Source organism: Homo sapiens, chromosome 12 (genome assembly GCF_000001405.40).
Source record: "Homo sapiens chromosome 12, GRCh38.p14 Primary Assembly".
In the NCBI taxonomy this organism is placed as follows: domain Eukaryota; kingdom Metazoa; phylum Chordata; class Mammalia; order Primates; family Hominidae; genus Homo; species Homo sapiens.
The window spans coordinates 95,334,319-95,361,084 of NC_000012.12; the positions used below are offsets into that span (position 1 = coordinate 95,334,319).

Genomic DNA, 26,766 nt, shown 5'->3' on the forward strand with positions numbered 1-26,766 from the left:
AAAAATACAAAAATTAGCCAGGCATGGTGGCACACACCTGTAATCCCAGCTACTCAGGAGGCTGAGGCAGGAGAATCGCTTGAATCCAGGAGGCGGAGGTTGCAGTGAGCCAAGATCATGCCACTGCACTCCAGCCTGGGCAACAAGAGTGAGACTCCCTTTCAAAAAAAAAAAAAAAATGCGTGTGGTTGCAGTTTGCCCTAAGAGGGCCCATGCTGTCTGGGTGTTCGGTAGCTAAAGTTAGAAAAGGCTTTGAAGTGTCTGAAGAGGAGAGACAGGGAAGTGACTCACAGCTCAACAGCTTCACCCTCTGGCTTTGATGGTCCTTGGCTCCGTGATGCTCAGTGTCTGTGTGAGTCTCAGAGAGCAAAAGCCCAATCCACAGCCCACCTGTTTGTATTCTTCACCCTCATTTGAGATTCTCAGAACTCAAGGAGAGCTCCTTTAGAAAATATGACTGCAGTTGTAGTGTAGTTGAAATATCAAAAACCTTTGTTATTAAAAAACCCAAACCTTTATTATGTCACTTGTAATAAAATATAAATGTGCTAAATTGGCTCAAATAAGTTGGATCAAATAATATTAAATAAAACAAAGGTGAAAAAAGAAACTTAAAAATAATTTTTTTTTGATGGGATCTCACTATGTTGCCCAGGCTGGTCTTGAATGCCTGGTCTCAAGCAATCTTCCTGTCTAGCTTCCAAAAGTGCTGAGATTACAGGCCTGAGCTACTATGCCCAGCCAAGAAACTATTTAAGTACTATAAGTTTTGTTGTGCTCGCTTCGGCAGCACATATACTAAGTACTAAAAGTTTTGTGATATAATTTCTTAAGTTGATAATTCTATTTTAGTCTTTCAACCTGATTATAAGAATTTGGGACAAAGGCTCACGTAAACATGACTTTGGCTCGGGGCAGTGGCTCATGCCTGTAATCCCCCCATTTTGGGAAGATGAGGCAGGAGGATCTATCACTTAAGGCCAGGAGTTTGATGCCAGTCTGGGCAACATAGTGAGACCTCAAATCTACAAAAAATAAAATTAGTCATGTGTGATGGTGTGTGCCTGCCGTCCTAGCTACTTAGGAAGCTGAGGCGGGAGGATCCCTTGAGCCCAGGAGTCAAGGCTGCAGTGAGCTATAATTGTGTCACTGCACTCCGGTCTAGGTGACAGACTCTGTCTCGCTTAAAAAAAAATTAACATGGCTTCATTCCTCATAAAACATTGTGATGAAGAGTCACAATGTTTTGAGTCACTATTCTCTTTACTCCATCTTTGGAGAGGTACGGTGGAGGAGAACAAAAAATGGCCCAAACCAAGCCTTTTAAAGCCTCCTGAAGCACTCAATTCATTTTCTGTCTTGTCCCTTTAAAGGAGAGACATGGCTGGTTCCATCATTCTCTCTCCTCTACTGCGGTGTCACTACACACTTCCACCATTTCCACTGGTCACCTGGAATTGTAACTACAGACTACAGTATTTGTTCCTGTTTTTGTTGTTTTTCGAAATGGAGTCTCACTCTGTCACCCAGGCTGGAGTGATTCTCCTGCCTCAGCCTCCCAAGTAGCTGGAATTATAGGCACACGCCACCATGCCTGGCTAATTTTTGTGTTTTTATTAGAGACGGGGTTTCACCACGTTGACCAGGCTGGTCCTGAACTCCTGGCCTCAGGTGATCCTCCCACCTCAGCCTCCCAGGGAAGTGCTAGGATTATAGGCATGAGCCACTGCAGCTGGCCTGTTCCTGTATTTGCATCTGAACAGTATTTGTATCTGGACAGGAACTCTCTTCCCTCTTGAAGTCAAGGATCACGTCAGAACAGATAGAATAATGTAAATATGTGAGCTGGCAATTTGGAAATAATATTCCACAGAGACAATCTTGTCCCACCCCAGAGCCCTGGATGCACATGTGTATAAAAAAGAACACCTCAGTTAAAGAATCCTTCCAGCCCCATGCATCCGAACAAACAGCTGAAATGAATTTTCAGCTGAGTTTTCACAACGCTCATTGCAAGCTCTTTGCCCTCATTAAATTATCAGGAAAATGCAAGTAATTTATTATGTGTAATCACATCATTCGCGGTAGCACTTCGCCCAGAGAAACCTAGCCCAATATGGTAACATCAGAACAATGCTTCACCTCACATCTTCCTTTGAAAGATAAAGAAAACACAGAATCATTCTGCTTCTCTCCGGGAAGGAAGGCAAAGCGTTTCCCCAGGCCCTCAGAACACCATCTGGCTGCAGTCTTTCCTTTTAGGGACCTGGTATTTTCTGGCCCAGGGACAAAGCGCATTTATTTCAGATGGATCAACACTGTCACCCAGCGGGCAGACAGCTGGGCAGGCTGAGGCCTTAGCCTTGCTCTTGGCTTGACAGCCAGATACTGACAGCCAGTATTTGAATAGGAACCTGTTTGTTTCGGGTGATCAGGATTAATTGTTAATATTCTCTTGGAGGGAACTGGGACAACCTCAGCTGACAAGCCTTTGATTTGGATGTCATGGGTGAGTGCAACTTAAGAAAGACATATATTTTCATCGTGCTGATGCTTTTTTTTTTTTTTAAGCCACTAGTGAATTTATAAGAAGCACAGGCTGTAAACCAACCAAGCATGTCTACCAAGACTCCCAGAATCAAATAGGTTTGCAGGAGCAGGGTGATATTTGGTCACCTGTCAGGTACTCTGGGAAGACTCCTCTACCACAAAATAAGACTAGTTGTTCATTGTTCGTAGTGACAGTGATGAATATTTTGAAAACTGAAAATAGATGTGTGTGTGTGTGTGTGTGTGGTGTGTGTGTGTGTGTATCTGTGTATTGAAATGTCAGGAAATAATCTGCATTACTACGGTGAAATCAGTGGATGAGTTAGTCTTTGTTTCTCTATTTTGTATATATCTCAGAAGACATGCACGGGATGCAACCTCTGTCCCATCTCATTTGTACTGAGTCCTTTTCTCTTGTCTAAACTGTCACTTGACACTTGAAACAAGCTGGATTCCTTTGCATATTGAGGTAGGCTCTGTGCCTTCTTGCTAAATGTACGGTTGAATTATTTCTTCTCCCCAGCTGGAACTCATCAACAAGCTGAAAGCATTCATCTGGGAACACTTTACACTTCTTACGAGCATGTCCGAGGAAGTGGGGGCTGAGACTTCACCTTGTAGAAACTCTTGCAGAATTTTGATTAAAAGCAGTCTCTGTTCATAGTGAGAAAATCTGGATTTGAATTCTGATCCCACCACATGCGAGCTCCTTGACCTTAGATAAGTTAACCTGTGTCTCAGTTTCCACCTCTGTTATCAGGGATAAAATTAGTACCTACCCCCTGGATTGCTGTGAGGATTTAGATAAGAAAATACACATGAATAACTTAGCACAGTGCCTGGGCACATAGTTAAAGATCAATAAACATTAGTATTACCATTGTCATAATTATTATAATGATATCTATCATATATATTATTCCCAAAATGCAACTTTCATAAAGTGCCTCTAGGCTAGCAGATGAAATCATGGCATCTTTTTAGCTGGAAGGGTCCTGAAAGATCATCCAGTCATTGCTTCTCATTAAAATCACCCAGAGAAACTTTTAAAACAAACGCTAATACCTCATTGTAGCCAGACAAAATAATACTTACTGTATGAATCCTTTTTTTTTTTTTTTGAGATGGAGTCTTGGACTGTCACCCAGGCTGGAGTGCAGTGCCATGATCTCCGCTCACCGCAACCTCTGCCTCCTGGGTTCAAGTGATTCTCCTGCCTCAGCCTCCCAAGTAGCTGGGATTACAGGCACCTGCTACCACGCCCGGCTAATTTTCTGTATTTTTAGTAGAGATGGGGTTTCACTATGTTGGCCAGGCTGGTCTTGAACTCCCTACCTCGTGATCCACCTGCCTCAGCCTCTGAAAGTGCTGGGATTACAGGCATATGAATCCTTTTAGATGAAATTCTAGAAGGGACAAACCTAATCTATAGTGACAGAACACTGATCAGTGGTGATCTGGGGATGATGTTGGAAGGACTGGCAGCTAATGGGCCAAAGGAAACTTTTAGGGTGATGGCAGTGTTTTCTATCTTGACTGTGGAAGTGATTACATGGGTACATACGTTTGTCAAACTCATTGGCGCTTAAAATATTCACTTGAACGCATTACGTTGTATGTAAACTATATTGTAATAAAGAGAATACTGATGCTGGGTCTCATCCACAGACATTCTGATTTAATTGTTCGAGGGTGAAGCCCAGAAGTCATTTTTTTTTCATGTATCCAAAGCATCAGCTGTGATTGAGAGCCACTGATCTAACTCAGTCTTCTTTTTTTCCAGATGACATGAACCCAAACAAATACAGCTGGTTAAAGGGGAAGGTCTTAGACTAAAATTCAGGTCACCTGGTTTCTTGTGCGCCAAACCTTATCTTTACTTACAACATGTCCTCTGCCTGGAACCTCTTTCTCTTCCTTCTTCTCATCTCTCTGACAAAATCCTACCTACCCTTAGGGGCTAGTATACAGTTGGCTTTAACCAATAGTATGAGCAATAGCATACCGCATAACTTTTGAGGCTGGAGTGCAGTGGTGTAATCACAGCTCCTTGCAGCCTTGACTTCCAGGCTCAAGTGATCCTCTTGCCTCAGCCTCCTGAGTAGCTAGGGCTACAGGCATACACTACCAAGCCCAGCTAATTTTTTTAATTTTGTAGAGACAGGGTCTCACTATGTTGCCCAGGCTGGTTTTGAACTCCTGGGCTCAAACAATCCTCCCACCTCGGCCTCCCAAAGTGCTGGGATTACTGGCATGAGCCACTATGCTCGGCCAGGAACATTCCTTCTTCAAACCAGCACCATGTTGTGAGGAAACCCAACTGGCTATGAGGAAACCCAAGTGGCTATGCACATATGACACTTCTCAGGAAGCCTCAGGCTGTGGCTCACCCCACTGGACTAGGAGCTCCTTGGCAGAAGGAACTGTGGCTCATTTTATTGACTGAGTGAGTGGGTGAGTGTATCTTCAGTATTCAGTACTTGTGTTTGGCACAGAGCAGACAGTCAATAAACATTTGTTGAACTGAAAAACCAGTGGAAGGGAATTAGCATTCATTGCCTATGATGTGCCAGGAATTGAAACAAGCACTTTGTGCACATTATCTCACTGAATTTTTACAATAATTTTATGAGTTGGTTATTATTTCTCCCTTTTGAAAGGGAGGATACAAGCTCAGAGAAGCTTAGTAATTTACCAAAGGTCACACAGCAAGCAAATAGTAGAATCAAGGTTTGAACTCAAGTGTGTTTGTTTTCAAAGTTCATGCTTTTTCTCTACCACACCAGGCTGTCTTGCTTATGGTAGTTATTCTACTAGGTCTTACACTATGGATTTTTATGTAGCCATATCTCCTCAACTAGGTTATAAGCTTCATAAAGGTGGGAATTAAATTTTAGCACTTAATTTTTATATGAACTCATGAGGCGAATGATATGGCCACCTCAGTTTTTTTTTTTTTTTTTTTTTTTTTTTTTTTTTTTTGAGAAGGAGTCTCGCTCTGTCGCCCAGGCTGGAGTGCAGTGGCGGGATCTCGGCTCACTGCAAGCTCCGCCTCCCGGGTTCACGCCATTCTCCTGCCTCAGCCTCCCAAGTAGCTGGGACTACAGGCGCCCGCCACTACGCCCGGCTAATTTTTTGTATTTTTAGTAGAGACGGGGTTTCACCGTTTTAGCCGGGATGGTCTCGATCTCCTGACCTCGTGATCCTCCCGCCTCGGCCTCCCAAAGTGCTGGGATTACAGGCGTGCGCCACCGCGCCCGGCCGGCCACCTCAGTTTTAACAGAGTATTCAATTTTTAAATTCATTAGAGTAACAGTAAAGATAATGCAACAGTGTTAAATCTGCAGTTATAAGAAGACCTGAAGTCAAGGGTTATCCCAAGGTTGTGATTTAAGCTGAGCTATTTTGGTAGCCTTCTGTTGACCCTATGAATAATCCCCAAGTCATGCAAACATCATACACAACAGCCCAGTCAAAAGAGTCATTATATCTCAAAGCACATACCAAAAAAATTCCTGGGATTATATTGTGCCTTTGAACCAGAAGAGGACAATTGTTGCCCATGAATTTAGAAGCAGATACAATGTTATATTTGAGCAACCGAAAGGAATCCGAATGACTCTAAAAGAACAAAGAGTTGTAAAGATATTAAATTCCAGGCAACAAATCTTTTGCTTCATTCAGCAATATTTGCATCCTTGAACAAAAAATTTAAAACTCTATCCTCATTCCTACATTAGAAATGCCTTCATAAGCTCACCAAAGACCTCTGTATTGCCAAGACCAGTCGACATTTTCATGTTTCTAATATTACTTGACCTATTTATTTATTTAGATAGAGTCTCACTCTGTCGCCCAGGCTGGAGTGCAGTGGTGCAATGACGGCTCACTGTAGCCTTGCCCTACTGGGGCTCGGGTGATTCTCCCATCTCAGCCTCCCTAGTAGCTAGTGCCATAGGCACACATCACCACACATGGCTAAATTTTGTATTTTTTGTAGAGACAGGATTTCGCCATGTTGCCTAGGCTGGTCTGGAACTCCTGGGCTCAAGTGATCCACCTGCCTTCGCCTCCCAAAGTGCTGAGATTAAGGCGTGAGCCACTGCACCTGGCCTACTTGACCTCTTTATGACATTTGAAATTATTGAACAGTGTCTCCTCCAACTCTCTGCTGGGCTTCTATGGCCACTTTCTCTTCTGTCTTCTTTCTGTTTCTCTAGGTCTTGCTTCCTAGTCTTCATTTCATGAAGACTTTTTCTCTACTTGACCTCTAAATATCTATTGTACTAAAAGCTTGCATCTTGTCTCCTGCCATTCACTCTCTTCACACACTCTTTGGATAACGCATAATTCTAACTACTATTTATGTCTACCAAGTGACCAAATGTCTATCAAAGCTAGTGCTCTCCTCTGATCACCAGACCTGTGCGCTGACTTGCCTACTTCTTGATGTCTCTACATTGATGTCACTCAGGTACCTCAAACTCAACATGTCCCACCTGAAATTTTCATCTTTTTCTTCAAATGTTCTTATGGTGGATTGAAAATGGCTGTGTATTCTTTGCCACTCTACCCATCAAGAGATGGAAGGCTATTTCTGTTCCCATTGAATCTGGGCTGGCCTGTGACAGGCTTTGAAAAATGGCAGACTGTGTAACTTTTGAGGCCAGGCATTAAGAGATGTATAGTTTCCATCTTCACCTCTTGGAGTCTTCCTTCTTCAAACAGATGCCACGTTGTGGGGAAACCCGAGCAGCTATGTGGAGAGGCCTTCATAAGGAGAATGGGGCCCACTGGCTAACAGTCATAACTCAGCTCCCAATGGCAGTGGCACTGCCTGCCAGCCCTGTGAAGGAGGATATTTTTCAGCTGTACTCAAACTGTCCCAGCCAGTGCTACATGAAAGAGTCAGGCCATCCCTGCAGGGTCATAAATAAATATAGGTTGTTGTTTTTAAGCTTCCAAGTTTGTTTGTTTGTTTGTTTGTTTTTTGTTTTTTGCTTTTTTTTATAGAGACAGGGTCTCGCTATGTTGCCCAAGCTAATCTTGAGCTCCTGGGCTCAAGCAATCCTCCCACCTTGGCCTCCCAAAGTGCTGGCATTATAGGCCTGGGCCACCATACCCAGCCTGGGGTGGCTTGTTGTGCAGTAATAGATAACAAGACATTTCTTCTCCTCCTCCTCCTGAATTCTCTATCTCAAAAAATAGTGCTACTGTTCTAAGTGCCCAGGTGAGAAGCTGGAGATACCTTAAATTCTTCCTTCACTGACATATCAGATCTTATAGAGTCTCATTTCTAACTGTTACTCATACCCAGCATCCTTTTCCATTCCCACCCACTGTTACTGCCTAATCATTTCCCTCCTAGTTAAAAGCTTAACAGGTCTCTCTGTCACTTGGACCCTTTCCATACCATTCTTCCAAAATAAACAAAATAAACTTTCTAAAATACAAAAAAAACCTCTGCATGTCACTTGTCTGTTTAAGGTCCTTTAATGATGCTGGGTGTGGTGGCTCACGCCTTAATCCCAGCACTTTGGGAGGCTGAGGCAGGCGGATCATTTGAGGCCAGAAGTTCAAGACCAGCCTGGACAACATGGTGAAAACCTGTCTCTACTAGAAATACAAAAATTAGCTGGGCGTGATGGTGGGCGCCTGTAATCCCAGCTACTCGGGAGGCTGAGGCAGGAGAACTGCTTGAACCGGGAGGCAGAGGTTGCAGTGAGCGGAGATCGTGCCACTGCATTCCAGCCTGGGTGACAGAGCAAGACTCCATCTCAAAAAAAAAAAAAAAAAAAAAAAAGAAGGGGGTACATGGGGTACATAAATAAGACCCTCTCTACATCCAAAGATATCGTGGGATTTGATGCACCTTGTTGTCCCAATGAGAAGTCTGACCCCTCTTACCTGTGATTCTACCCTCCCATCCACCCAGTTTCTCTGTATCTGCAGGTGAACCAGCTTCTTTGTATCTGCAGGTGAAACCTAGCTCAGCAGGTTACAAGCCCATAGTCCTAGAAACACCTGCAATGAGACCAAGAAAGAATTAGCAGTGACCATGGCCATCAGACTGAGAGACCATTCACTCATTCATTGGTTCATTGATTCATTCAGCAAATATGTTTTCAATGTTTACCATGAGCTGGGCCCAGGGATAGGGACTGGGGCTACAATGGTGAACATGACACAGTCTTACCATCAAGAAGCTTCCAGCCTAGGGGCAGAGGAAGCCAACTTCAAAGCAGGCTGGGAAGGTAAGGCTGTCCTCCCTATACTCCCAGAACCCACGACACACTCTCTGTGGCTCAGGCCACCCTTGTAAGAGCTCTGTCTACACCCTGATGCTTCCACCAGAGTATCTACTGCTGTTCACCTTCCAGGTACAGCTCAATCATTTCACTATCATGCAGGACTTGTGGTTCCCTGGTTAGGTGGAATGAAAGAGAATTAAGAGATAGCTAAGGCCCTCATCCAGCCACGCAACTCTTTTGGAGGACACTAGAGGTCTTTGCTAAGTTTTCTGTGTTTTATAACCTTCTTCATTCTTATTTGTATTCTCTTTAGGTTCTCTGGTCACGGGATTATTCCCTTCCTCTTGCTGACCTAAAAAATAATCAACTTTCTGGAAATTTAGGGGACTCAGCCAATGCTGTTGTGATTCTCCTTCTTTAGCTTTCAGTTACAGAATGACATGTGACCTCCTTGCAAGGTTGCTATCAGCCCCGTTGTACAAAATAATATGTCCTTGGTCAAAATTTACATTTTGTGCCTCTTATTAAAGATCTGTCTGTTTGCCTGCGTCATCTCTAAAGGCCTAGCCCATCTGCAATGCCACCTCCTGAATGGGACACAGCTGTTTAACTGAACTGATTTATTCTTAGGACTAAGAGACTGATTCAAGAAGACACGGAATGATATATTTAAATTTGCCCGTTTTTGCTTATCCCAATTTGTTTTTTTCCACTCCTTTGCCTATCTTTATCTCTGCAGCCTATCACCCAAATCTCTGCAAAGCTATCAATTTAGCTTTTCAGATGTGAAACTTTTTCAAGTTTCAAAGTGAGGACTGAAGGAAATAAAAATATTTCACCCCGAAATATACTTCTTTGGCATATTTTGAGGTGGCTGTTCAGAGAGCCAATGAATAGAAGTCACCCTGCAGAACTGTCTTTTGTGGGGGAGATTTGCATCTGCAGAGAATCTGCACTGATGCAGGCAGAAGAGGGCTTTCTCTGAGGCCTTCTCTTGTCCGATTGAGGAAAGATTAACTGAGACTCTGACATTTTAAAGATCTGAAAGAAATATTTGCCATCTACAGGCAGGGCTGAGAGAGCCCCAGTGGGAGTGGGCCCTCCATGTCAGACTAAGGAACTTGGACTTGGCCTAAAGGGAAGTCCTTAGAGACTTATAAGCAGAAGAATGATGCAGACATGTTCGGATATTAAAAAGAACACCTGGCTGGGCACGGTGGCTCACGCCTGTAATCCCAGCACTTTGGGAGGCCGAGGCGGGTGGATCACAAGGTCAGGCATTCGAGACCAGCTTGGCCAACATAGTGAAATCCTGTCTCTACTAAAAATACAAAAAATTAACGGGCTGTGATGGCAGGTGCCTGTAATCCCAGCTACTTGGGAGGCTGAGGTAGGAGAATCACTTGAATCTGGGAGGCAGAGGTTGCAGTGAGCTGAGATTGCACCACTGCACTCCAGCCCGAGTGACAGTGTGAGACTCCGTCTCAAAACAAACAAACAAAAAAGGCCAGGCGCCGCTCACGCCTGTAATCCCAGCACTTTGGGAGGCCGAGGTGGGCAGGTCACAAGGTCAGGAGATCGAGATCATCCTGGCTAACATGGTGAAACCCCGTCTCTACTAAAAATACAAAAAATTAGCCGGGTGTGGTGGTGGGTGCCTGTAGTCCCAGCTACTCGGGAGGCTGAGACAGGAGAATGGCGTGAACCTGGGAGGCGGAGCTTGCAGTGAGCTGAGATCGCGCCACTGCACTCCAGTCTGGGCGACAGAGCGAGACCCCCATCTCAAAAAAAAAAAAAAAAAAAAAAAAAACACCCTGAAATGGGTAGGAAATATTAGAGGTCTCAAGACTAAAAGCAAGAACTAGTTAGAGCATTGGAGAAAATCAGTTCGGGAGTGATGAAGGCCTGAAGTAGGCAGAAGCAGTGGGATTGGAAAGAAGGGACAGTCAGGAAATGAAAGTCGTGGTGATAGATTCCAAACTCAGTTTCATAAGTGGCCTCTGAGATCAGTCTGTGGTGGCTATTTGGTGTGCAATCAGCAAAAAAGAGTTTAGGGCCCAGTCTAGGCTCAGTTGAAAAGAATGATGGGCTGAGCATGGTGGCTCACGCCTGTAATCCCAGCACTTTGGGAGGCCAAGGTGGGCGCAGATGACTTGAGGTCAGAAGTTTGAGACCAGCCTGGCTAGCACCGTGAAACCCCATCTCTACTAAAAATACAAAAAAAAAAAAAAAAAAAATTAGCCAAACGTGGTTGGTGCTTGCCAGCTACTCCGGAGGCTGAGGCATGAGAATCACTTGAACCCAGAAGGTGGAGGCTGCAGTGAGCTGAGATCACACAACTGCACTCCAGCCTGGGCAACAGAACAAGACTCTGTCTCAAACAAACAAACAAAAAAAGAATGATGGATTAGTGATGTCTGCTATAGACACAGAATGGGGGAATATTGGCTCATGACTGGTATTTACTATTCCCATTCTCTGGTAGAAGAAGCATTAAAATGAACTGTGTATCAACAAGTGCATACTGTGTGAGTCCATGAAGATCTAGAACAGATGAAAGTAATTCATGCTGATAGAAGGCAGAATAGTGGTTTCCTGGGGGTGGGCAGGTGGGTAGGTTACTCAATGAGAAGGAGTAGGAGAGAGATTTTTCAAGCCTGGAAGAATTCTGTATTTGATCTGGGTGGTGATTACACAGGTGTGTATATACATAAAAATTCATTATGGTATATACCCTTAAGATTTGTGATCTTTATTATACGAATGTCATATCTCAGTTAAAAAAAAAAGTGTGTTGAGAAGCCAACAGAAAAAAAAAAAGTATATAGCTCCCTATATACTTTGGCCACTTCTTTGATAGTCTTGTCCTTTTGCTTGAAGGAGAAGACATAGACTATGATGACCTGGTCCGCAGAGGACATCTGGCTGCTTCTAAGGTGATCATACTCCAGGTCTGTCACTTTCAGGATGCTGTGAGAGCTACATTGGCACGTGTGCCCTGTGTCCCTGCACAGTGTTCTCCTTAGGACCATGGGACAAACCAGCTGGGAAGCAAACCAGGTATCCTTGCTTTCAATGGGAAAAGGAACCCTAGAAATATAATGGTTAGAAATCACATTAAAGAAATGAAAGGACAGAAAGGACACCCCTGATATACAAGCGATTACTTTAGTAAAGCATTGACATTTAATTCTGGACAGGATTTTATTTACCAACATGTTAAAATATTTGTCAATACACTAAAAGAGTTAAACATAAGCCTTTTCAGCTATACAGGCACCGATGGCTCTGAAAGAAACATAAAATACGTGTTCAGAGGACCAATGAATCCAAATGATTGCAAATAATTGACCAGCAATTACTAGAATGTTAATTGCACTGTAACATACCTAAGAAGAATGCATACAAGGCTGGTCTGTAAGTTACTTACTTTTATTCCCTTACAGATGAGAAAACTGAGGCTCTGGAAATTCAGTAATTATACCAAAAACACACAAGCAGTAAATGACAGCTGTGATTTGAACACATGCATATATTTTTTCTATTGTAATACTGCTATCTTGCTGGATCCTGAAATATCTGTAAGGTGTTTATGAGTTGGTTTTATTGCCTCTACTAAATAAGCTATGTAGCCCAACAGCTAGAATGGAAATCAGAAAGCTAAATTTGGATTCATAATCTGTCACTTACTCTTTTTTTTTTTTTTTTTTTTAGACAGAATTTTTGCTCTGTTGCCCAGGCTGCTGGAGTGCACAATCTCGGCTCACTGCAACCTCCGCCACCTGGGTTCAAGAGATTCTCCCGCCTCAGCCTCCCAAGTAGCTGGGATTATAGGCACCCACCATCATGCCGAGTTAATTTTTGTGTTTTTGTAGAGATGAGGCTTCACCATGTTGGCTAGGCTGGCCTTGAACTCCTGACCACAAGTAATCCACCCGTCTAGGCCTCCCAAAGTGCTGGGATTACAGGTGTGAGCCACCGTACCTGGCCTGTCACTCACTCTTAATGTGATTGCAAATCTTCTCATTTCTTTGTGCTTCAGTATTAACATCTATTATGTAGGGGTAAGTTTGTGTTTCCACAAAACTTCCAGGGGGGTTATGAAGCATATAAAACCAACCTTTCATGAATTTTAATTAGCTTAAAGAATTTTATGAGACGCTGAAATTTGTTTAAAAATATAGTATTTTAATTAGGTTATTTTAAACTGGCATTCCTGGGTAGCTAGAAGAGTACATCTTATTTATTTTTATTTTTTAATACAGAGATGGGGTCTTGCTGTGTTGCCCGGGCTGGGCTCAAATTTCACCTCAAGCAGTCCTCCCACCTTGGCCTTCCAAAGTGCTGGGATTATAGGCATGAGCCACTGTGCCTGGCCAGGAGTACATTTTATTATCATTAAAATATTCACTGTTGATTTCAGTGTCCTTTTTTTTTTTTTTTTTTTTTTTAATGAGACAGAGTCTCTGTCTGTCACCCAAGCTGGAGTGCAGTGGCGCGATACTGGCTCACTGCAACCTCCACCTCCCGGGTTTAAACGATTCTCCTGCCTCAGCCTCCCGAGTTGCTGGGACTACAGGCACCCGCCACCATGTCTGGCTAACTTTTTGTATTTTTAGTAGAGACAGGGTTTCACCATGTTGGTCAGGCTGGTCTCAAACTCCTGATCTTGTGATCTGCCTGCCTCCCAAAGTTCTGGGATTATAGGCGTGAGCCACCGTGCCAGGCCTTTTTTTTTTTTTTTTTTTTTTTTGAGACAGAGTCTTGCTCTTGTCACCCAGGCTGGAATGCAGTGGAGCGATCTTGGCTCACTGCAACCCCCACCTCCTGGGTTCAAGCGATTCTCCTGCCTCAGCCTCCCTTGTAGCTGAGATTACAGGCGTGTGGCACCATGCCCGACTAATTTTAGTATTTTTAGAAGAGACGGGATTTCATTATGTTGGCCAGGCTGGCCTCGAACTGCTGACCTCAAGTGATCCGCCTGCCTCAGCCTTCCAAAGTGCTGGGTGTTTTCAGTTTCTTTACCCTTAACCTGAGTGCTGTGGACTCAATGTGTCCCCCCAAAATTTGTATGTTGACGCTCCAAACCTCAATGTATTTGGAGATAGAGGCTTTATGGAGGTAATTAAGGTTAAATGATGTTATAAGGGTGGGATCCTGATCTGATAAGATTAGTGTCCTTATAAGAAGAGGACACCAGAGAGCTGACTTTTGCTGCCTGCCACGTGAGGACACAGCAATAAGGTGGCCATCCATAAGCCGGGAAGAGAGCCTTCATCAGATACTGATGCTACGGACCTTGATCATGGACTTCCAGCTTCCAGAACTGTGAGAAAATTAATTTCTGTCATGTCAGTCCCTTGGGCTCTGGTAGTTTGTTAAAGCAACTGAAGCAAACAAATGCACTAAGCAACTTAGTGTGATGAATGATCAGCTATGTTTGTTGAAGCCATGCTTTTTGAAATGTCTTGATGCCTTTCCTCAGTAGAAACGCATTTCTACAAAATGATGGTGATTTACGGTATCTGCTTGGCTTAAGAAAACCCATGCATGCAAATATAATACATTATTTCAGCATTTGCCTTAATGCCCCACCAGACCTATTTTCAATATATTTTTTCCTTTTTCAGCATAATGTTTATTAGTGAATTTAGATGCAGGCTAACTTAGAGATGGATCTTCTTTCATGGAAAGACAAACACATAATATCAGCAGAATATTGTTTCTTTGAAATGTTCAGAATAGTACATTTTGAATTATAGTAAAAGTTTACATATGTGTGTTGGTGTGTGCATATAATGGAGTAGTTAATATATTCATAAAAATATGAAGATAATATAACACCCCCATGCACACCACCGAGCTTTATTGTATTAATATCAAATATTAATACAAATTAATGCTTTACTCCATTTGCTATATATGTTTATATTTTTTCCATTGTTACAATTTGAGACACAACTGAAAGTCCCTGAGGACTCCTGCCTGATTTCACTCAACGTTTTATCCTAATTTTGGTGTATGTCATTCTCATGTATGTCATATAAGTATGTAATAACCCATAATCTGTTAGGATGAGGGTTTTTATTTGCAAGCAACAGAAACAAACTGGTTAATTTAAGCAAACAAACAAAAAGGAATGTATTCAATAACTTGGAAGACCTTTGCAAGAGTGGAAGACTTGGGTTTGGAGGCTCCACTGCCAGGGAAAATGTCCCTAATCATGCTGTAGAATGTGTCCAATAGCAACACCACAACAACGGCTGCTGGACAGACCCTACGGCTTGCACTGTTGGTCCTCCTGACCCAAAACACAGCTGCAGGAACCACAGCCATTACAGCCACTAGAAGCCAAGCGGAACCACTGCTCTTCCTCCCAGAAAGTCCGGGCAGCCCCTGCAGCTGCATGAAAGTCTGGGGCAGGCGCATCTGATCTTTGGAGCCTGGGTCATGTGCCTGGGCCCTAGCTGCAGGAGAAACTGGGAAATCAAGAAGATGGGACTGGGTGTGGTGGCTCATGCCCGTAATGCCAGCACTTTGGGAGGCTGAGGTGGGCGGATCACTTGAGGTCGGGAATTCAAGACCAGCCTGGCCAACATGGTGAAACCCCATCTCTATTAAAAATGCAAAGAAATTAGCCAGGCATGGTGGTGCATGCCTGTTGTCCCAGCTACTCGGGAGGCTGAGGCAGAATTGCTTGAACCCGGGAGGTAGGGGTTGCAATGAACCAAGATTGCGCCACTGCACTCCAGCCTGGGTGACAGAGGGAGGCTGTCTCAGGGAAAAAAAAAAAAAAAAAAGTGGTATTTTTGGCTTTTATTGTGGGAGGGGACTCTGCCTCAGCAGGTAGGGGAGTCCCCAAACTTAGGAGGGAGGTATAGATGCTGCATGATAAGAGCCAATGGCAGTTGTCCACAACAAACAACTGATACATTCTCTTGTTGATGGACATTTACATAATTTCCAATTTTTTACTACAGAGAACTGCTGCAATGAAATTTTTGCACATTTCCTACGGTATAGAATTTCTCTGGATTATTCGTGCCTTCAATTTTACTAGACATTGCCATATTGTTCAGCAAAGGGTCTATTTGCCAATCATATATTTTGCTAACATTTGTCTCCATCTGTGGCTTGTCTTTTCCTTCTGCTTATGGTGTCCTTTTTATATGGAAGATTTTTATTTTAATATAGTTAAACTAATTAATCCTATCCCTTATGTTTGTGATTTTTTGGTGTGCATTTGGTTTAAGAATTTATTTTCAGCCAGGCGAGGTGGCTTATGCCTGTAATCCCAGCACTTTGGGAGGCCGAGGCGGGCGGGTCAGGAGTTTGAGGCCAGCCTGGCCGACAGGGTGAAACCCCGTTTCTACTAAAAATACAAAAATTAGCCGGGTGTGGTGGTGTGTACCTGTAATCTGTAATCCCAGCTACTTGGGAGGCTGAGGCAGGACAATTGCTTGAATCTGGGAGGTGGAGGTTGCAGTGAGCAGATCACGCCACTGAACTGCAGCCTGGTTGACAGAGCAAGACTGTCTCAAAAAAAAAACAAAACAATTTTCTACCTGAAGGTGATAAGAAAAAATTATCCTGATGTTTTCTTCTAAATGTTTTATTATTTGGCTTTTAATGATTAGCTCTTTACCTGGAGTTTATTATGGAAAATAGGAATCTAAGATAGATAATCAGTTGTCCCAGCACCATTGATTGAATAATCCATTCCTCCTGGTTTGTAATTCGATCTCTGTTGTAAATCAAGTTTCCCCATGTTCCTGGGTCAGTCAGGTCTTTCTATTTCTGTTCCATTGGTCTATTTAACTAGCCTGGTGCCAATACTACAATATCTTAGTTACTATCACGTCATAAAAACCTTAACATCTGATAAAATGAGTCCTCCACTTCCCCCTCACCCCAATGTATTAATGCTATTTCCAGAGTGAGCTATTAGCTATCTTATATCCTGAAGAGCACAATGACAAAAAAAAAAAAAAAAAAAGAGAAAAGAACTTTCAGAGTGTATGGTTTGGTATAAAATATGAGTGGGCCATAAGAAGTAGCAAGAGAATCAACAACACCTTCACCAGTGGCTAGGTGCCTGCAGAGAGCTGAGAGCCAGAGGCAGGGATTTATATCAAAGAAATCAGATGCATTTGAATTAAAGCTCTGATCTCCACCCTGTAAGAACAGGCTTCTAAGACTCCCAGCTTCAGTGACACTCTTCTTGTTTTCCAATGACCACTGACTCCTCCATCCCCACCTTTCCTTTCCTGGGGTTTACGGCAGGTAAACACAGCGTGGCAACATCAGGTTCCTGGAGTGGCATTCTGAGCATCCCTGAATAATTCTGATGTGTCAGCTGGTGTCTGTGGAATCACTAAAAGTCAAGTTTCAAGCTACAACCCTCTACCTCTGCTCAAAAAGGCATTTTAAGTCCTTGCTTTGAGCAAAGCTTCCAACCTCCTGCCTCAAACACATGGCAATGAGAGGTAAAAGAGAAAAAGAAGCAATCTAAAGGACAAAGCTGCACTCCAACCAAGATGAACACCCTGTGCATGGAAGCCAAATCAATAGATTTGCGGGGCTGAAGCCACAGGCTTGCTTGGCTCTAGGTCTAGAAGCAGCGAAAGCAGATATGAATTTAGCTCTTGTGGGAAAACAGAATAAAATAAAATGCCCCTCTCCAGGCTGGAGAGCAGGGTGGGGGATGTTGCCTGTTTTGCTTCTTGAATCCAAGAACCAGGGTAGGGCTTCCACTACTCCGCATGAGGCTAGAATAGCTGCTGTCTACTCCTGCTTGGCCACATGATGGCTCACAGGATGCTTCGTGCCCAGGCAGATGAGAGAACATGGCCACGGCCGCCCAACCAGGACTAAGCTAAACTGCTTGCTGGCCTGGAGACTGGATCTGCAATAGTTCTAATATTCATGAAGTGAGACATCCAAGCCACCATTATTAGACCTGGTTCAACCACTAAATGGGAGGAAACCTTGCTCATGCGCACACACACCCGCACCCACCCATCTGCCCCAACACACACACAGAGAAAGAGAAAGGAAAAACCTTCCACTCAAGATGAGCCCAGAATCCAAAATTCCAAAACATACAGAGAAAGCTAATTCTATTTTTTTATACGAAGTCTCACTCTGTTGCCCAGGCTGGAGTGCAGTGGCACGATCTCAGCTCACTGCAACCTCTACTTCCTGGGTTCAAGCGATTCTCCTGCCTCAGCCTCCCAAGTAGCTGGGATTACAGGCACACGCCACCACACCTGGCTAATTTTTGTATGTTTAGTAGAGACAAGGTTTGCCATGTTGGCCAGGCTGATCTCAAACGCCTGACCTCAGGTGATCCATGTGCCTCAGCTTCCCAAAGTGCTGGGATTACAGCCACCTGCCACCATGCCAGCTAATTTTTGTATGTTTAGTAGAGACAGGGTTTCGCCATGTTGGCCAGGCTGGTCTCAAACTCCTGACCTCAAGTCATGGTGCCATCTTAGCTCACTGCAACTTCTACCTCCTGGGTTTAAGCAATTATCCTGCCTCAGCCTCCTGAGTAGCTAAGATTACAGGCATGCACTACCACGCTGTCTAATTTTTGTATTTTTGGTAAAGACGGGGTTTCGCCATGTTGGCCAGGCTGGTCTCAAACTCCTGACCTCATGATCTGCCCACTTCAGCCTCCCAGAGTGCTGGGATTACAGATGTGAGCCACCATGCCTGGCCTTAAAAGTTATTTTAAAAATGTATGTTTAGAATCCTAAACATAAAAAATGACGGAATAAATAACTGAAAAAAAGGATTAAAAGACTTTTAGTTACCATAGGATGAATTGAACACTCAGGTTTACTTTAACTCCTTGCTAATATCTTACCACAGAGACTATTAAAGGGTAATAAAGGTAAAAACCTAGAGGCCTATTGTATCACGTGTTATATCAGTAAGGATGCCTTTCTTTGGCTGCAAGTAATGCAGCTCAAACTGGCTTACTAAGGACACTTACGGGCTCCCACAATTGGAAGTCTAGAGGCAGGGCTTTGCAGGTGGCACTGCCCAGTGGCTCCAGATCTATCCCCCTCGTCTTCTGTGTCAGCTTCTTCTGCAGGAAGGTAACAGATGGCCAACCAGCTCCAGGTCTCACACCTACTCAGAACAACCATTACAGAGGAGAGTGGGCTTCTGATGCCAGCATTCCAAACCAAAAGCCTGGGACTCACTATGTCTTGTGTCACATGCTCACCCCCAACCCCACCGACCAATGACTGTTGCCAGATACATGAAAATTCTCAATTGCCTTAAATCCCAAGGCTCATCCTTGGAGCTTTGGCTGTGGTCAACTGCCCCCGATGCATCTGGGTGATTGAGGGAATGGGCAGACACTAAATAAACCCAGGGTTCTATGAGGAAGGATGAAGACAGAAATGACTCCAGGTGTTCAATTAAAAATATTCACTCAGTGCTGTATGTGGAAACTTTTTTTAAAATGTTGGCTAGGCATGGTGGTTTATGCCTATAATCACAGCACTTTGGGAGGCTGAGGTGGGAGGATCACTTGAGACCAAGAGTTCAAAACCAGCCTGGATAACATAGCAAGACCCTGTCTCTACAAAAAATAAAAAAATTAGCCAGGCCTGGTGGTGCATACCTGTAGTCCCAGCTACTTGGAAGGTTGAGGTGGGAGGATCTCTTGAGCCCAGGAGTTTGAGGATGCAGCGAGCTATGATTGTGCCACTGTACTCTGGCCTGGGTGACAGAGTGAGACCCCATCTCTAAAAGAAAAACAAATATTTACCAATATCACCACAAATATTTGGTGCACCACTTAAAATGTGCACTTTCTGAAAAAATTAGAAACAAAGCATAAAAAGTTAGGGAAAGGGATATGTTAATACTCGTTCACTGGTAAATTGTTATTTGTATAGACCGTGATAGCAGATAAAACTCTCTGATACCCTGCTTATGCGTTGCCTCACACTATGAGTGACTATATTCCTTTTGTCAAATAGCACTTATATAGACAGTGCTCAAAGTAAGTTATCTGACTGAATATCACTTTTAATTTATAGTCTGCTCTAGCCTTGTCAAAAAACCTGCACACTGTTGCATAGACATCCTTTTTCTTTTTTATCAGTAGTAAATGGGCTTTAAAAATAATTCTGTCCTTATTCTCAGAAGCATGTTGCATACTGGGATGGATGGTTCTGGAAATGAAGGGATGTTTACCCTTGCCACTGTATTTCAATACCATAAATGGTGACTGTGAATCATTACAAAAAATGTGGCAACTTGCTTGTGTCTAAAAGGAGCAACTGGAACTAGAAAGTGTGATTACATAGGGACCTTGTAGGTTTGTTAATTGATCTGCAGCTAAACCTTAATGTGTTTGTGTGTCTGCTCATTGCCCTCAGCATTTCAAGACATCTAAATACTACCATAAAACCAGCATTTTCCTGTGCATTGACTTCTCATGTGAAAACAGTTACTGAAGTTGGCAAAAAATAAATTTTAAAGTTTGGATGAAGGTATTTTTGGTCTGTTTAGTGCTCTTCTCAGGTTTTTCAATAAACTTGCATTTTGAGGGTTGTATCGGCAACTTCAGCTTTCAATGTGCATCATGGTGGAAGGTGCTGAGTTTATTGGAAGGGAATGGAAAGACAAAGTTACCATGAGGAGGATCCGCAGACCACGTCCTAAAAAGAAATTGGCTCAGCCCTCCACGAATTGGGTCTTTGGGCTACTTAAAATAGAAGTAAACATTTTTTTAAAGTTAGGGAAATTAACAAGCCTCTCCGTATACCCATAGATATAGGGAATCTCACTGAGTTTCTCAGACACATGATAAAACAGCATACATCTCTCACTTACAGGTGGAATATAACATTAACCATCTTGCACTGAGGAGTTACAGATTGGTAGACACAGTGCCAAAAACTTGATAAGCTTGTCTCATTTCATCCTTACACAACCTTGTGAAGTAGGTATTATTATTGTGCTTTTTACACATAAGGAAACAGAAGCTTATTCTGCAATTACAGAGGAAGTAAAAAGCAAAAGAAAGAAACAGAAGCTGGGCGCGATGGCTCACGCCTGTAATCCCAGCACTTTGGGAGGCTGAGGCAGGCAGATCACCTGAGGTCAGGAGTTTGAGACAAGCCTAGCCAGCATGGTAAAATGCTGTCTCTACTAAAAATACAAAAATTTAGCTGGGCACGGTGGCTCACGCCTGTAATCCCAGCTACTCAGGAGGTTGAGGCAGAAGAATCACTTGAACCCGGGAAGTGAAGGTTTTGGTGAGCTGAGATTGTGCCACTGCACTCCAGCCTGGGTGACAGAGCGAGATTTCATTTCAAAAATAAAATAAAATAAAATAAAATATAGCCGGGTGCGGAAGGAAGAAAGAGAAAGAAGATAGAAAGGAAAGAAAGAAGAAAGAGAGAAAGAAAGAAAAGAGAGAAAGAAAAAGAAAGAGAAAGAAAGAAAGAAAGAAAGGAGGGAGGGAGGGAGGGAAGGAGGGAGGGAGGAAGGAAAGAAGGAAGGAAGAGAGGAAGAGAAGCTTAGAGAGGCACATGATTGCAGAAGTTCACGTAGCGAATACATTCTACTTGTGTCGTATCAGGACATTATGCTGTTGTCCCTCCACCAGGTATCAGCCTATCCATCGCAAGTCAAACACAGGATTTGGTTGGAAATGGAACTCCAGCATGGAAACCATACAGAGGAGTGATCACAGGAAAGATAGATGTTCTTGCACATGGTGCTTATTTTTAATTCATAGGTTAGGTGAAGTCTTTATGTTTTTTAATTCAAGATTTAGAGTCCAGTTGTGGATTTAAAAGTTGCAGTTAAGTTTTTGCAGAAATAAATAAAGCCCTTATTGAATTGGTATTAATCTCTTCAAATGTCATTGCTATTTGAGTAACTGAGCCATAAAAATAATTTTACAGTGACATGTGAAATGATTGGGTTTTGACTTCGTAAATTCGAAAGTCTGAATAAACATTTTGGAGCTGCCTTGCACAGTGCCTGCTCGCTTCATCGTTGCAGATTTTAAAGGATTGGGATAATTTTGTTATTTGCACACAGTTCTGGCCTGAGGTCAAGGGGCCATGATATGGCCCCAACCCTGCCTATCATTCGTGTCGCCCTAAGACCCAGCAAAACCAAACTGCTCAGCATTCCTACGATTTGCCTGCATTGTCCCTCCTACGTGACTTTGCTCCAACCCCTGTGTTGCTGCTCACTAGCTGTGTCTTTGGGCAAATTACCTAACCTCTCTGAGCCTCAGTTGCTTTAGCTCTAAAATGGGGGCTGGGGAGGACAGTGAGGGTTATAATTATAATTAACTAATTATAATTAATCCCTTAGGTGTGTTGTGAACGTTAAATGAAATCCTGCAAGTAGAGTGTTTAGCATGGTGTCTAGTGTATGGTAACTGGTCAGCAAATGTTAACCATCCCTAACATTATTAGGGTCATTACTATCCTTCTCATCACTCATCTCTCCACCTAGAATACCCAACCCTCCTTACCTGCCTATCCCAATTCTCCCCCTCACTCAAGACTCTGGTCAAAAATGCACTATAAAATAATCCTGTCTTTCTGGTCAGGTGCGATGGCTCACGCCTATAATCCCTGCACTTTGGGAGGCCAAGGTGGGCGGATGGCTTGAGGCCAGGAGTTCGAGACCAGACTGGCCAACATGGCAAAACCCCATCTCTACTAAAACTACAAAAATTAGCCGGCGTGGTGGCAGGTGCCTGTGGTCCCGCCTACTCGGCAGGCGAGGCAGGAGAATCACTCGAACCCAGGAGGTGGAGGTTGCAATGAGCCGAGACTGCACCACTGCACCAGCCTGGTGACCGAGTGAGACCCTGTCTCAAAATAAATAAATAAATGAAAATAAATAAATAAATAACCTTTTCTTTCCAAAAATACTCTCCCTCCCCAAAACTTCTTTAGCGTTCTATCTATACAGCTCTGCTAGCAGTTCCTTCCTTATTTATTTATTTTTTTTGAGATGGAGTCTCGCTCTGTCACCCAGGCTGGAGTGCAGTGGCGCGATCTCGGCTCACTGCAAGCTCCGCCTCCCGGGTTCACGCCATTCTCCTGCCTCAGCCTCCCGAGTAGCTGGGACTACAAGCGCCCGCCACCGCGCCCGGCTAATTTTTTATATTTTTAGTAGAGACGGGGTTTCACCGTGTTAGCCAGGATGGTCTCGATCTCCTGACCTTGTGATCTGCCCGCCTCGGCCTCCCAAAGTGCCGGGATTACAGGCGTGAGCCACCGCGCCCGGCCTCCTTCCTTATTTTTCATTTATTAATAGTATACACTATCTTACGTCTTCCTGCAGCCTTGAAGCCTTGGGAAGACTGGGGCCAAGTCTTTATGTTGCCCCCTGGGCCTAGCTCACACACCTGTCAGTAGCGGATAACAGCCACTGGTTGCATGAATTCATACCACGGTCAGGGGTCTGACAGCACTGCTTGCTTTAGTGGCGTTAGTAAAGTATCATGGCAATACTTCGAATACAGGAAACATTGCCCTCATTGTATTTACAACTTTTCTTTCAATGCACAGTCTGCACCAAATGTTACTGAAGCGATATTAGGTTTGGGAGCTCGAGGGAGTCTCAGCTCCTGGGGGGTCTTGGAAGATGTGTGCTCAGCTAAATTACAGCATGTGTGGTGTTAGGGGGCAAGGCTTCGCTTAAGGCTTCCAAAGGCTGCCACGCAGTAGAGAGACCAAGCTGCTCCTGCAGCAACCCCCTTCCCTCCCACATGCTACCTAAACCTGGAGAGAGTGACACACGGCCTTCTCTGCCTGAGGTAGGAAGCAGCCCTGTTTGGTGGCTAGTCCTGGAGATACAAATGCAGAAAGAACAGGGCATTTTATGCTGGTGAAGATAATAAGGGCACATTTCCCCCAGGAGAGTTGGTATGAGAAGGCAAGAGAAGCAGGAACTTGTGGCACTTATATACTATCACCAAGTATAGATTAAGGACTTTTCAGCATAGGGCCAGGTTTTGAACAAGCATTCACTAAAGAAATGAAAACAAACTGAGTCATGATCCCAGATTGATGTGGCTCCACTGCTAAACAGGAAGCCTCTTAGCAAGCAGACTGAGGAGAGCTCAAAGGCTTGAATCTGGGCATGTGCATTTGTCCCAGTTTTAGGAAAGATTTTCAGTTGATTGCATGAAAGTGGCCACTCCTTAACCCAAACATGAGCTGGGCTATGAATTATTAAGGCAAAGGAAGCTGGTTACCGGAAGGTCTGATTGCCGGCTGGGGCCTTCCGGATGTGACAAAGAGGCAAAGGCTTCAAGACACCCTTTTGTTCTAGGAAGGTATTTCGGCATTGAAGGTACTCCTTATCCTCGCCTTTCTCCTTTGCACCTTGTTTCAGAGAAACTTTTGCTGATGAGGCGTTCTCTTTCCTGGGTACTATTTGTGGAAACTTGGTTATTTTGCAAATGTGCTGCGGTTCCATTCCTGAAATGTAAACAAAATGTATTCCTCCCAGCAGCCTCAGTAGACCAAGGCATCTGTAGGCTGAGCTGTTTGGGTTAAGTTGGCTGCTATAGTCTGGATGCTCCTTCACCCATTTACAGAAGTTCCTTCTGTTCGTTCTTCAATTTTAAATGCACCTCTTGTTCTACTCAGAGGACACATGGCATCTATGTAATAAAGAAAGTTTCCAGGCTATCAACAAATCTAAACCGTAAGAGTTTGATTGCACTTATCTTGTACCGGGAAATGAGCCAGGCACTTTAAATACATTATCCCATTGAAGGAAGTGCCCCCATGAGTTGAATACTCTTATTTTCATGATATCACAGATAAGTTCAAGTCACTTGGCTAGACAGAGGCAGAATCAGGATTTCGACAGGCCTATGTGATTCCAGACTGAGCTTTTACTTACCATGCTCTATAGAGACCAGTGCTTCCCATTTTTTTTACATCACATGGAAAAGTGTAAATTGTAAAGCACATATACATATAGATCCTTATCATAGAAAATGTACTATTAAGAAAGAAGGCCAGGTGCAGTGGCTCATGCCTGTAATCCCAGCACTATGGGAGGCGGTTGTGAGTGGATTGCTTGAGCCCAGGAATTTGAGACCAGCCTAGGCAACATGGTGAAACCACTGTCTCTACAAAAAAAAAATTAGCTGGGCATGGTAGTGTACACCTGCAGTACCAGCTACTGGGAGGCTGAGGTGGGAGGATCACTTAAGCCCAGGAGGCGGATGTTGTAGTGAGCTGACGTGCTACTGCACTCCAGCCTGGGCATCAGAGCCAGATCATGTCTAAAAAAACAAGAAAAAGAAAAGAAAAGATGATGTATTTGTGTGGCACACTGGGATAAATTTACTAGGCTGCTTGTGGGTGGAAGCAACTATCCCAGTGGCTTAATCACCCCAGCCCAGCTGAGTGGCCCTGAAGGCTGGTAATGTCCACTTTTCAGTTCCTGTGTACAACATCTGAGGCACACCCTTTGGGAAGCTCTACTCTATACCACAGTATACAGCAAACTACCTCCCCAAATGGAGAAGCTTGCCTTTGGATTTAGCATATAGTCAACGTGCACTATTCACAGATTGTGTATCATGTCTTTGACTGCTTGCTAAAATTTATTTGTAAACCTCAGTGTCAGTATTGGTGGCACTCTTGTTGTCATTCACAGATAGGTGCAGAGCAGTGAAAAATTTGAGTTACCTCTTGTGAATGTTCCCAGCTGAGGTCGAACAAGCCTACGCTCTTCTTGTTTCAGGGATACTGTAAACGTGTCTCTTTGTGGTCTGTTTAGTGGCGTGTTTCTTGCATTTCTGTGCTGTTGTTGGTGATGCTGTTTAAAATGAGCTGCAAGTGCAATACTGATGTGTTGTCTAGTGTTCTAAGCTCAAGAAGTCTGTGATGTGCCTTACAGAAAAAATACACGTGGTAAGTAAACTTTCAGGGTGAGTTAAAGTGCTGTTGGCCATAAAGTCAATGTTAATGTATCAACGATATCTAGTAAATAAGGTGTTTTTAAAGAGAAACACGTAAAATGAGGTTATGTATTGATCAATTGACGAAAATATTGTGACCCTGGGAGCTACCCCTACCAGCAATGGTTCAGTATTTGCTTAGTGTTTGCCAAGACTTTACAGAACCTAATTTCCATGAATAACGAGAATAAACCGTGTTATATCATCAGTCAAGAACTGAAACTGTGATAGGCTCTGTAGTTAACACCAACTACGAGTTAACATTGCAACGGCACACTCCACTGTGGGAACACAGGCCTCTTCTCAACACAGCAGGTGAACCAAAGACATGGGCAAGGATTGAGGTTTTGGTGGGAACGCTAAGAGGTGATGGTTGAGGGGTGAGAGCATTTTCCAATCCAAAAAATGAGTATGAAAGCACCTCTCCTTAAGAAAACACAGAAGTGGCCAGATATATTCTTTTCTTCAAAAAGAGAAAGGAAATAAAATCAAGTTTGCTTCTCTTTTCCTGCTACAGTCTATCACCTGCATCCATGACAAGAATCCTTCTGCATAGGGCTTTACAGTTTACAAACTCACCACCTCAGGAAGGAGGGAAGAGGTATTTAAATGCTGGTTCTCTGGAAGTCTGAATGATGGGAACCGGCTATTATGAAGCAACACAATGGATTCCATAACTGACCCAATGCAAATCTGTACTGATTATAGCCAGTGAATGAGGATGTGCCGGACTTTTCTCTACAGTCTTCTTAGCTTGATAGCTGTGGCAATGTCACGCATGGGGCTTATGTCCACTGCTGGATCAAATGTATCTGTATCCACTGGGTCTGTTAAACTTGAAGGCTTCAAAACAGAAAGATGTGTGTTCCACACACACACACACACACACACACACACACACATATATATAGAGAGAGAGTATTTACTATATACATGATTAGCAAACATCAATTCTGTCACTTGTTCATTCATTAGGTA

The 26,766-nt window shown here is 43.5% G+C and overlaps 1 long non-coding RNA gene across 1 annotated transcript in view, besides 1 other annotated feature; it reads right to left on the reverse strand.

Annotated features, from left to right (window-relative positions):
- Positions 603-1,519: an enhancer, noted in NCBI's record as "H3K27ac hESC enhancer chr12:95728697-95729613 (GRCh37/hg19 assembly coordinates)". NCBI's record gives its function as "activates a minimal SCP1, AML or CMV promoter by ChIP-STARR-seq in naive H9 embryonic stem cells {active_cell/tissue: H9 hESC(naive)}" and the evidence as "EXISTENCE:reporter gene assay evidence [ECO:0000049][PMID:30033119]".
- Positions 3,252-26,766, reverse strand: part of LOC105369917 (uncharacterized) — a 67,929-nt gene continuing 44,414 nt past the window's right edge. The window contains exons 8-11 of the long non-coding RNA XR_001749265.1: positions 24,064-24,289; positions 8,458-8,574; positions 6,055-6,171; positions 3,252-3,340 (exon numbers count right to left, since the gene is read on the reverse strand). This is a non-coding gene — a long non-coding RNA (uncharacterized LOC105369917). The remainder of the gene's footprint in view (positions 3,341-6,054; positions 6,172-8,457; positions 8,575-24,063; positions 24,290-26,766) is intronic.